The sequence below is a fragment of the Homo sapiens genome, chromosome 1 (assembly GCF_000001405.40).
Source record: "Homo sapiens chromosome 1, GRCh38.p14 Primary Assembly".
Lineage (NCBI taxonomy): Eukaryota > Metazoa > Chordata > Mammalia > Primates > Hominidae > Homo > Homo sapiens.
In genome coordinates this window covers 244,260,793-244,273,572 of record NC_000001.11, presented here as the reverse complement: position 1 = coordinate 244,273,572, position 12,780 = coordinate 244,260,793, and the positions used below count along the sequence as shown (strand labels likewise).

At 41.9% G+C, this 12,780-nt stretch overlaps 1 long non-coding RNA gene across 2 annotated transcripts in view, besides 1 other annotated feature; it reads left to right on the top strand.

Annotated features, from left to right (window-relative positions):
* Positions 1 to 12,780, top strand: part of LOC105373262 (uncharacterized) — a 94,430-nt gene that overhangs the window by 51,605 nt on the left and 30,045 nt on the right. The gene's annotated exons all lie outside the window — the stretch shown is intronic.
* Positions 285 to 511: a silencer, noted in NCBI's record as "fragment chr1:244436364-244436590 (GRCh37/hg19 assembly coordinates)". NCBI's record gives its function as "represses an EF-1alpha promoter that drives an FKBP-Casp9 reporter gene in an ReSE screen in K562 erythroleukemia cells {active_cell/tissue: K562}" and the evidence as "EXISTENCE:reporter gene assay evidence [ECO:0000049][PMID:32094911]".

Genomic DNA, 12,780 nt, shown 5'->3' with positions numbered 1-12,780 from the left:
ATGTGCATATGATTTTAAAGTGGACAAGGCACTCTTCATATGCATGATCTTATGTAAACACTACAAAACTCCAAGAATCAAACATTTATTATGACCTCCATTTTACAGATGAGAAAACAGGTTCCTAAAAATGAAATTATTTGCTCAGGGATGATGTCACAAATCACTGACAGAGCTTAAACGCAGGAACCAACATTCTGACTCCAAATCCCATTGATGTTTTCCCCAAACGATACAAGAAATGTCTTAAATGAAAGTCCATGTGAATATTTTGAAGAACCCTTCCAACGTCTTACCTAGACTGTTTTGTGATGCTGAGAAATTGATCTACACGTGTGCATCCCTCACATGGCCACAAGATGGCAGGGTAGCCTCGATGATTGAGAAATTGGCTTCATTCCTTGCACCAGTAGAGGGCTGTAGTTCCATGTTTCAAAAAGTAAGACATGGAAAAAAAAAAAAAAAAAAAAGAAAAGAAAAGAAAAGAAAAACAAAACAAAACAAAACAAAACCCATCAGTGTCTACATTGATGAAATAGGATGGTGGGAGGTTTGTTTTTCTTTTTGCCTTTTCTTTTTTAAATTAGGCAGTGAGAGTTCAAACAAACAAGTCTCCATTTTCACCTCTGTGTTTGCTTTTGGAGGCACGAGGTCAGGACTTGGGCCAGCCGCCTAGCCTACATTATTCATCTGTCCAGTTCCAGCCCTGGAACAAATGTGAAGAAATGAAGTAGCTTCAGTGGAGGGAAAACAGTGTTGTTATTGTTGCTGGTGACAGTTCTATTTGCCAACAAACATAAAAACATACTTTGGAACCCAAATGGGCTTGTCAGAGGGAACTTTTGTTCCATGTTTGGGCTGGGATGCTTCCAGATAGAAATCAGGCTGGCATTTGAACTTCAGGAGGCAGGGAGAGAGCTGTGCACAGCAGCTACTGACCCGAAAGGCCAGGCCATCAGCTGCAGTTTTCATCTGGGTGTCGTTTGACCACAGCCCACGCGGCTCCGGGTTGCCAACTGGGGTCACTGCCCTGAATGGGTATTATGGGGGAGGAGAGCAGGGCAGGCAGGCCAGGAGGATGGGCTTGCCACAAAAGGGGATTAACAGGCTTTGGATTCTGAGTTTTTGGAAGGTGGTTCTCACTTTGGGGCTTTGGGATGGTGAAAGCGGTCGTGATTCTGGGGGATTTATTTGCTGTAAGGTCTCAATTATCCCAAGACTGTTGGCAGCACCTTGGAGATCCCTTTGCTACATGGATTAATTACTCCAGGGATAAAGCCATCCTCGCTGTGTCTGCTGGTGAGTGTTTAGGGTCCGCGAACTCATGTAAATGCCAGTCTAAGGAAGCATAATTCAGAAGGCCAATCTGCCCATCCCCTGCTACTGTTACATAATTCAAGGTGAAGGTCCCAACCACAGCTGTCCGGGGGCTGCCTCCTCCCTCGCAGATGGAAGAAGCTTGCTTGATGGACTGGACTTACACTAATACGCTATCTATTTGGAAAGAAGAGATGGCGATAAATTACTACCATGGTGAATATCATTAAAATGCCGCAGAACCAAAAGCACTGTGTGAATGTTAACTCCAGGCACCTCGCATAGCCACTCCACAAAGCTCCGGTATCACCCAACACTTTAAATTGAGCTCTAAAGCTGGAAAGGCATCTTAGAGATTAGCGGGTCCAGACGTTCGTGTCTAAGACAGCAAGCTCCCCCTAGGAGGAGTTCAAGAAATGTTTGGTGAATGAGTGAGCCTTTCATTTTACAAATCATGTAACAGCCCCTGGGAAGTGAAGCAATTGCCCCCATCGCACACCTCATTGGTGGCAGACCAGGCACTACGGCACAGCTGGCTAACTCTCAGGTTAGTCCTGTTTCAATTCCATTTTGCTGCCTAGCATTTAAAAAACTCATTTTTATTTTGTTGCTTTTTTCTTTTCAAGCCTTCTTTTGATCTACAGTTCGCTTCAGAACTACACAGTGATGAGGCGGAAACCTCTTGGTTCTCACCTTCAGATTCATTTGGTCTCAATTTCCAACCACTGGGCCTTGTAAACCTTAACTGGCTCTAGAGCTAAATAGTTCAATTTCCAGCATTCAGCCTCAGATTTATGGACACTTACGATAGAAGACTCAAATGTATTCCAATAGATCAGGGGTTGAAAACTTTTCTGGAAAGGGCCAGATAGTCAATACTTTAGGCTTTGCAGGCCATACAGGCTCAGTTACAACTATTCACTTTTGGGGTTTTAGCGTACAAGCAGCTGTAGAGAATACGTACATGAATGAGCATGGCTGTGTTCCAGTGTAAGAGAAAAATAGGCAGGAGGGGAAACAAATTCGGCCCTTGGGTCAAAGTTTGCTGACATTGCAAAGGAGGACTTGGTCTGTGACTTAGTATTTTCCAGCATATTCCAGATCTAAGCAAAGATGTATCATTCATTTTTGTAGAGTCCTTTCACATTCCCAGTCTATCCACCCACCTTAAATAGAATTCTTAATTTTTTCAATCAGAGACTTGACAGTCCTTATGAGGAAATGTATCTGTGTGGTGCTCTTGGGTTTATGTGTCAGGAAGTCTGGGTTTGTGAGATAGTGTCTTGGCTTGGCTTGGCTGGGTGGTTTGAGCAACAACATTTTATTCCTGAGTTCTGAAGGTGGGAGGCTGGGAAGTCTAAGATCAAGGAGCAGGCCGATCCAGAGTCTGGCGAGGGTCCCCTTCCTGGTTGGCAGGTGGCTTTTTCTCACTGTATCTTCATGTGGCAGAGAGAGTGAGAGAGTGCTCTTGTGTCTGTTCTCATAAGGGCACTAATTCCATTCATCAGGGCCCCACCCTTATGACCTGATCATCCCCCAAAGGCCCCACCTCCAAATACTGTCACATTGGAGAGTAAGGCTTCAACATATGAATTTTGGGGACATACACACATTCAGTTCATAGCTATAGGTAGGTAAAGCCAACACAATAGCAAACTTTAGAGATGAAGAAACTGAAGGAGGAGGATTGGAGGCTGGAATCTTAACTGTCTAATATGTACCCAACACTATGCTGTGCCAAGCACGGTACTACGTTACTGAATCCTTGCAAGATCTGGGGGAGATTTTCATTATTATGCCAACTTTATAGATAAATACTGAGAGATTAGATAATGTGCTCAAGTCTTATTCTAGGAAGCAGCAGAGCTCTGTCTAGAACTCTATCTAGTTCTGTCTGACTCTAATGCATGCTCCGTCCCCTGCCCCACACTGAAGAGTTCATTCTTACAAGTCATCACCTGTTCGAGAGGCAAGGATGGCATACTAATAATCTGTCCACACTTAATTCCCATACACTTGCTAGGAGCCTGATGTTTGTTGAATGTTAAAGTAAGTGCTTGAAGGGATGATTAGTATTTTTTTTTTTTTTGATGGAGTCTTGCCCTGTCGCCCAGGCTGGAGTGCAGTGGTGTGATCTCGGCTCACTGCAACCCTGCCTCCAGGGTTCAGGCAATTCTCCTGCCTCACCCTCCTGAGTAGCTGGGATTACAGGTGTGCACCACCACGCCCTGCTAAATTTCTGTACTTTTAGTAAAGACAGGGTTTCACCATGTTGGCCAGGCTGGTCTCAAACTCCTAACCTCAAGTGATCCACCCACCTCAACCTCCCAAAGTGTTGGGATTACAGGCGTGAGCCACCGCACATGGCTGACAAGATCTTTTAATTGTACACTTTAATCTAATATTCTCTTTAACAATAACTGTCTATCCCTGTCCCAAATCAGCTTGGCTACCAGATTTGAGTTATTAGGTGCAGGAATTCCCCCCTTCTTGCCCATGACATTAGGAGAGGTGGTGGTGGTGGTTTAGGAGTCCTCCCATGCCCAGTCAGTGCTGGGGCAGGAGTAGCGGTGCCCATGGGAGGCAGGGTTGCCAGGCTGTGTGTGGGGCCTGGGGAGAGAGCTCCTACTTCTTCATAGAATCCCTGTTTTCCGCTCTGGGTGGGCACAGGAAAGTCACTGATGGAAACAAAAGCACCATCTAGAACCTCAGAGACTGATTCTCAAAATTCATGTCCAATGTAGCCGTTCTGGGATGAACACAGGGTCTTCGGGCTGACGCCCTGTCCTTTGGTTGGTTGGGAATGATGGCTCGTGTCCATGTGACTTTGGAGAGGCTGTTTCTCTCCTGTCAGTTTCACTTTCCTTCTGGGGCTGAACCGGGCAACCCCCGATGCCCCTTCCAGGTAGAGGAAGAGAGAGCAGCCGGCGACACGCCACGGGTTCTCCCTGCGAGGCTGGAAGGGTAGTGAAATCATTTGAGATAAAAATGTAAGAAGGACTGAGCTTCCCACGGATCCAGAGGCCGCCCAGTGTGTGGCAAATTCTAGAGACTTTTTTTCCATACCTGGACTTCTCGTTTTCGGAGGCAGACCTCAATTCATCCCCAAAGAGAAATCTGAAATAGCAGAAAGAATTTCAAACAGGATAGGAATTTGGGTTCTGCCAAGATCCAGGGAAGACGCAGGGTGTGAGGATTTCAGGGGAGGTGATGGAGGGGTGGGTGGAAAGCGGCTGGTGTCCCCCGTCCCCTCTCAGGAGGCCTTGCTGGGACAGGCGAGCTCAGGGTGTGCAGCTTGTTTACTTGGGGCATGTGACTCGCCAGCTTCATGTCCGTTTTCTAGTCGGTAAAATTAGGGCATGGGTGATCATTTCCAATGTGTGCTACACACCAGAATCTGGGGCTGAAGGGGCAGGGCTTGCTTTTTTTTTTTTCTTTTTTCATTGTAATCCTTTATAATAGAAAGGATTTGCCTCCTTGTCATATTTGGTGCTAAATTATTTTCCAGTTTTTGTTAACTGGTTTTCTTTTTTTTCTTTTTGAGAGAGGACCTCACTCTGCTACCCAGGCTGGAGTGTTGTGGTGCAATCACAGCTCACCGCAGCCTTGAACTCCTGGGCTCAGGTGCCCTTTCTGTCTCAGCCTCCCAGGTAGCTGGGAGCACAGGCGCACACCAACATGACCAGCTAATGCTTTTGATTTTTAGTAGAGATGAGGTCTTTCTCTGTTGCCCACACTGGAATGCAGTGGCACAAACATGGCTCACTGCAGCCTTAACCTCCTGGGCTCAAGCGATCCTCCCACCTCACGCTCCTAAGTAGCTGGGACTACAAGTGCACACCACCACACCAGGCTAAGCGTTTTTCTTTACTTTTAAATTTTCTTTATTTTTTGACATCAGAGCATTTAATGTAATTAATTCTAGAAATATTTTCTTTTTCTGAGACAGAGTCTCGCTCTGTCACCCAGGCTGGAGTGCAGTGGCACGATCTTGGCCCACTGCAACCTCTGCCTCCCAGATTCAAGTGATTCTCCTGCCTCAGCCTCCCAAATAGATGGAACTGCAGGCACCCGCCACCACACCAAGCTAAGTTTTGTATTTTTAGTAGAGACAGTGTTTCTCCATGTTGGCCAGGCTGGTCTCAAAGTCCTGACCTCAAGTGCCTCCCAAAGTGCTGGGATTACATGCGTGAACCACTTGTGCCTGAAAATAGAAATATTTTCTTTCATAATTTTTTTCGCATTGTTTTTATGCTTACAAAATTTTTTCTTTCTCATGTGGAGGAGATCAGGTATTTATGTACAACTTTTAATGGTTTTATTATTTACGTTTAACTTTAACATATTTTGTTTTTAAAATTTGAAATTAATTCGTACACATTAAAAAATTCAAGAAACGTGTGTGTGAGTTTTCATGAGAAATGAAAATACCACATTCACACACAATTGCACTACCTTTCCCAGAGACAACTACTGTTAACAATTGATGGGTGAATTCTTCAGAGTTTCTCTCAATTTGAGGCGTGTGTGTGTGTGTGTGTGTGTGTGTGCGTGCACATGTATGTGGCATTTATTTTTATATAGGAAAATAGACATGTATACAGTACATATCATTCAACAGCTTGGTTTTCTTCACAGGACACTAGTTTTGGAGATCTTTCCATGCCAGTGCACATAGCTTTGCCTTATTCTTCTTAACTGTGTAATATTATACAGTGTACATGTACTGTAATTTACACAGGACTTTGAAATTCACTTAAAATTTGTGTCAGTGTGAGGTGAAGATGAAAATGGATTTCGCTCTCCCAAATAGCAACCCTCTCCTGTGTGCTGGGGGGATATTTTCTTTTTTTTTCCCTTTTCTTTTTCATTTTTTGAAACAAGGTTTTGCTCTGTTGCCCCAGCTGGAGTGCAGTGGTGCAATCTTGGTTCACTGCAGCCTCGAACTCCAGGGCTCAATCGATCCTCCCATCTCAGCCTCCTGAGTAGCTGGGACTACAGGCACATTCCTCAAGCCTGGCTCATTTTTTGTAGAGACAGGGTTTCACCATGTTGCCTGGGCTGGTCTTGAACTCCTGGGCTCAAGCAATTTGCTCCCTTTGGCCTCCTAAAGTGCTGGGATTACTGGCATGAGCCACTGCACCCGGCCCGGATGTTTTTATAGTTTGCTTTTTAAGATAATGCAGTGGACAACACAATTTAGAAATAAGGAGAGCAAAATCTGTATACCACATGGGAAGTATCATTTTTTTCCTGTTTTACACCTGGGCAGGTAAGGTGTAAAGTGGGAAGTGGGAGGTCAAGGGGTCGCCCAGGCTACACATCTAAGTGTGGAGCTGGGACTTGAATTCAAGTCTCCTGACTGGGAGTCCAAGCTTTCCTTGCACTGCAGCCAAGAATTTAAGAAGTTTCACCAATAAAGAGGCAAAGAATCCCTTCCTTTCTCCCTGCCACCTGTTCTCCCTTCCTTCCTCCTTTGAACAGTTATTTATTGAGCTTCTACTGTGTGGCAGGCACTGCGCGAGGGTTTGCCATGAGAAAGCCTCACGACTTGCAGAAGGTAATGATTCTCAGCTTCAGCTTCCTTATGTGTGTAATGATCTGTGAGGTACAACGAAGCTCTAAGATCCCATCAGAAAGATTCATCCAGTTAACCAGGAAATTAAATTCACCAAATCACCAGTTGCCTTGAGCACTTTGTTTAAACAGCAAGGATTTACTGTCTTATTTTGAGAACTTCATAGGGTTCCCTCACTGGAAGGGGTTCTGTATAATCCATTGGTCTGTCTGACCCCTTGCTCTGGACAGGTGAATGATAAATTTTTCAGGAGAGACATTGCCTAGTCTTTCTATTTCTTTTTGTTGTTTCTGTAGGTTTAAAACAACAATTGATTATCTCAAGGGCTCTGTGGCTCAGGAATCTGGGCCTGGCTGAGCTGGGTCCCTCTGGCTCAGGGTCTCTTGCCAGGCTGCAATCAAAGATGATCCTGGGATGGAGCCATCTTAAGGCTGGGTTGGGGGAGGATCCACTTCGCAGCTTACTCACTGGCTGTTAGCAGGATTAGTTGGCAGGATTCAGTTCCTTACTGGCTGCTGGCTGGAGACATTAGTTCCTTGCTACGTGGGCCTCTCCACTGGGCAGCTTGCAACATGGGACCTCACTCTCTTCACAGCAAGTCAGCAAGAGAAGGTGTGCTAGGATGGAAGCCACAGTCCGTTGTCACCTCATCTTGGAAGTGGGGTCCCATCGCCTCAGTCACAGAGGCGGGGACCATCAGGGGACATCGACCACAGTAGGAATTGCCGTGTTCCTTAGCAGAGGCATAGAAAGGCCAGGTGACTCTGCTGAGGTCATACAAGAGATGGTGGAGGAGCTGGGTGACAATCAAGGTAGTCTGGCTGCAGAAGCTGCTCTCATTGCTACCATGCTACACTGTGCTGCCCCACAGTTAGAATGCCAGGGGATGCATTTCCTGAACTTAGAGGACCAGAGGGCACAGGCTCAATCATGAAAGGTACTGGCTAGGACAGGGACACTTAGCCTTTTCCTTGCCACTGCAACTATTGTGAAATACAATTAGAGGAAAAGTTAGCACCTACTTCATGATGGCTATCTGGTGCCTTTCCGTTGTCTCAAAGTTCAAAACACATGCCTTTGCACATGATGATTTGCAAAAAAAGTATGCAAAAGGACACAGAGAAAAGTGTATCTCCCACACCTCCTTCCCCCGGCACTTCACTTCCCTCCTCAGTAGCAGCCCCCAGTACCAGTTTCTTGCCTGTCCTTCTAGAGATATTCTCTGCATGTACAAGCTTGTGAGAATACCCTTTTTGGTTGTTTTTAAAAAACACACACAAAAGATGAAAAAGGCAACTCACAGAGTGGGAGAAGATATGGACTCATCTAGTATTTAGTAAAAACAAGCAAAAATCCTACAAATGAAGAAGAAAGAGATGGATGACCCAACAAGAAAATGAATGGAAGACATTTTACCAAAGAAGAAAGCAAAATGGGCCTTGACACAAGAGATGCCAAACCTCACCAGTCATCGGGGAAATGTACAAAATGGCAACGAGATACCCCCTTAACACGTGGGGATGGCAAAAACAGGGTGGGAAATGCCAAGAGCTGGTGTGCATCAGCAGGGTATGAGTGAGCCAGTTTCTCCACAGCCTCGTCAACATGTGGGTTGCCACCATATTTTATAAGTCACTCTTATAGGTGTGCAGAAATATCCCATTGTGGTTCCAACATGCCTTTCCCTCATAGGTGGGGAAGCCTAAAGTCCCTTCACATGCTCACATGCCATCTGTAGGTCTTCTTCTGTGAAATGCCTGTTCAAGTATTTCCCATTATTTACTTGGATTATCTGTCCTTTTATGGTGAATTTTGAGAGTTATTTCTATATTTTAGGTTGTTTCCTTTCTTTTAAAGTTTCATTGATAATTTTTTTTTGAGATGGGGTCTTGCTATGTTGCCCAGGTTGGTCTCAAGCTCCTGGGCTCAAGGAATCCTCCTGTCTCAGTCTCCCAAAGTGCTGGGATTACAGGTGTGAGCCACTATGACTGGCTCCTTGTTCTTTGCCTTCAAAATGGACTTTAGCTATTTTTGGCATTTGTTCTCCCATATACATTTTTTTTTTCTTGGATCAGCACGTCAAGTTTTATCTGAACTCATCAGATTTAGAGAACTGTGGAGAGTTTCTAAAGAATCGGCATCTTTATGATATGTAGTCTTCTCATTCATGAATGCGGTCTAATCCTCCATTTATTCAGGATTTCTTTTATGCCTTTTGATAATATTTTGTAACTTTCTTCAAAGAGCCTTGAACATTGTTAGAGGAGAACCTTGCTCTTTGATCTTGGTTTCTATCCGGAAGGAGTTTCCCCAAGCACACTTCCTTCCCTTCACCCACTTCATCCTTGGAGAGAGGTAATGGCCCATCTAATGTCAGATTAGCAAAGACCACCTAAGTTTAGTTCCATCTTTTTTTGGTGGGTGAGTAAGAAGCCTGCAGTGAGGAGGCATTTTGTTTGTTTCTCTAGGGCAGGTTTGTATTTTGCTGGAGGTCCTGTTGAATATAACTTGTGGCAGTAGCATGATTATCTCACTCCTTGCCTCAGAGAAAAAGTTTCAACATTTTCCCATTAAATATGATGTCTCCTGTAGGTTTTATATAGATGCCCTTCATCAGTTTTAGTAGTGTCCCTCTACTTCTAGGTTGCCAAGCATTTATGTCATGAATGAATGTTGAATTTCATCAAATTATCCTCTGCATTTCGAAATGATCATATGATTTTTCTCTTCTTTTTTGTCTACAAGGTGAATTACACTTTTTTTGGATAATTTTTAATTTTGGTTATCATTTAAAACATGTAAAAATTGAAGATTTGTACAAGAAACTCTTACAACCCTTTACCCAGATTTACCAGTTGTTTACTTTTTGCCTCATTTGCTTTATCGTTCTTTCTTTACACACATATATATGAGCATGTTGTTTATTTTTGGTACCATTTTAGACTAAATTGGAGATAGTATGTCCTTTTACCCCTAAGTACTTCACTTTATATTTACTAAGAACAGAGACAGTCTATGGCAGGAATTCATTGAAGGCAGGAAATCAAACTCTGATACATTCCTATTTCATATGTGTGAATATTAAACCAACTTTGCATTCTCAGAATAAACCCCCCTATGGATGACATGATGTTCTATCCTTATTATATTTTATTGATGTCGATTGGTTTGACTTTGCCTATCTCCCTTCCTTCTTTCCTGCCTCCCTTCCTTCTTTCCTCCCTCCCTCCGGTATTTCCTTCCTCCCTCCCCCCTTTCCTTCCTCCTTTTCCCCTTTATTTCTCCCTTCCTTCTTTCCTCCCTCCTCCCTCTCTTCCTTCTCCCTTTCTCTTTTTCTTTCTTTTGTATTTATGGGAGAGTTGACCCTATAATTTTCTTCTTGGAAATGAACTTGTTCACTCTCAAACAGTGAGTTGGGAAGTATTCTCTCCTTTTCCATTCTCTCGAATAGTTGTGTAAGATTCGTACTATTTATTTCCTTAAATATTGTAAAGAATTTACTCCCGAAGGCATGGGAAGATTTTTTTTTTTTTTGAGATGGAGTCTCTCACTGTCACCTGGGCTGGAGTGCAGTGGTGTGATCTCTGTTCACTGTAACCTCTACCTCCTGGGTTCAAGTGATTCTCCTGCCTCAGCCTCCCGAGTAGGTGGGATTACAGGCGCCCACCACCATGCCCAGCTAATTTTTTGTATTTTTAGTAGAGACAGGGTTTCACTATGTTGGCCAGGCTGGTCTCAAACTCCTGACCTTGTGATCCGCCCGCCTCTGCCTCCCAAAGTGCTGGGATTATAGGGGTGAGCCACTACGCCCAGCCAGGCATGGGAAGGTCTTTTATATAAGATTCACTTTAATAGCTGTAAGACTAGATTGTCTCTCTTTTTGTGTCCATTTAGTAAGTGATTTCTAAAAAAGTGGTCATTTAATCTAATTTTCTAGTTAATTGTTATAAAGTTGCTCATAATATCATCCTATTATCTTTTTAATATATGAGGATATAGAGTTATGTCTCCCTTTTCATTTCTAGTATTTTTAATTTTCCCTTCTCTCTTTTTCTCTTGATTAGTCTTACTATGGATTTATTAATTTCATTAGCCTTTTCCAATAACCAGCATTTGGCTTTGCTGATTCTCTCTTATATTAATATGTTTGCTTTCTATTTTATTAACTTCTAGTTTTATATTTTCATTTTGTTCATTTTACTTTCTTTTGTTTAATTTGCCATTTCCACCCCACCAACTTCTTGAGACAGATGCTTGAAACACTGATTTTCAGTCTTTCTTCTTTTCTAATCATATGCATTTAAAACTAAAATTTTTCCTTTAAGCATCACTTTAGCAGACTTCCCTAAGTTTTGGTATGTAATATTTATCATAATTTCTAAATACTTTCTCATTTTTGTTGTGATTTCTTCTTTGACTCTTAAATAATATAGCAGTGTATTACTTAATTTCCAAATATATGTAGGGATTTTCTAGCTTTTATGTGATTGATTTCTAGTTTAATTTTGCTGTAGTAGGATAATATACTCTATATGATTTTGATATTTTCAAAGTTGCTAAGACTTGCTGTGTGGTCAGTATTATAAAGGGTACAGGTGTACTTGAAAAGAATGACTATTATTTAGTTCTCAAGTACAGTGTTCTAAATGTGTGAATCAGTGCAAGTGTGTGAATCATATTTTTCAATTTTTTTATATTATTACCAAGTATTTAGGTCTTCTTTATTAGCTACTGAGAGAGGTGTGTTAATATAATATCTCTCCCTGTGATTTTGGATTTGACTGTTTCTCCTTTGGTTAAGTCAGTTTTTGCTTCATATATTTTTGGTCTATGTTATAAGCTATGTACAAATTTAGAATTATTACATCTTCCTGACAGATTGAATCTTTTATATATAGCTGTAAAATTCTAATCTGATAATCTTTGCTTTTTGTTGAATTTAATTAGGTTTCATATGTGTGATATATTGTGACTTATCATTTCCAATGTTTTTCTTCAAGTATCTGTTTGGCTACTTTTTCCCCTTCTGATTCTTTTTGGGACATTGATTCTCCTCTCCCGATCATCCCTGCCTGAAGACTCCCCATTTCACCTTTGTCCCTCATTGGTTTGGAATTCTTCAAACACCCATTGATCATAATCACACCTACCTCCTTTTTGCTATGAGTGTAAACAGCTTTAGCTTTGCTTTTGAAATAAAAGTTATATTGTATTTGTATTTGTACTCTCCATAGTTAATTATAATTGATATTCTATCAACTTTCATACTCATCATTTTTTTCCCCTTCCATACCACAATTTCTCTTTGGGTTTAATTGTTTTTTCCCCCCACCTTGCTAAAGGACATCTTACAGTGAGAGTCTGTTTGGGTGGAAGCAACCTTAATCTTTGCATATCTGTGAACATTTTTATATCACTCTCACTGTTAAATGTTAGTTTAACTCCGTATAAAATTCCAGGTTGATGGTTATTTCTCCTCAGCATTTTGAAGCTATTATTCCATTCTCTTTTGACTTCCACTGAGGATGATATAAAGTTTGTCAAATACCTAATTGTTATTTCATTGCAAATAATTCATCACTTCTCTCTTATAGCTTATAAGATTTTTTCTTTACCTGTGTAGTTGTATATAGTTTCACTATGATGAATCCAGCTGTGGATTTATACTAGAGAGCTGAGAACACCTTTCTCTAGAATTTCATGTCTTTCTTCAATTATGGAAAATCATTAATTATTAGCATTTACAAATATTACTTCTCTGTCATTCCCAACATTCACTTATTTTTGGAATTCTTTTAAATGAATCTATGAATTTCTTAATTTAGTCTCTGTATTTCTTAACTGCTTGTATGTGTATATGTATATGTATATATATTCAATATCAG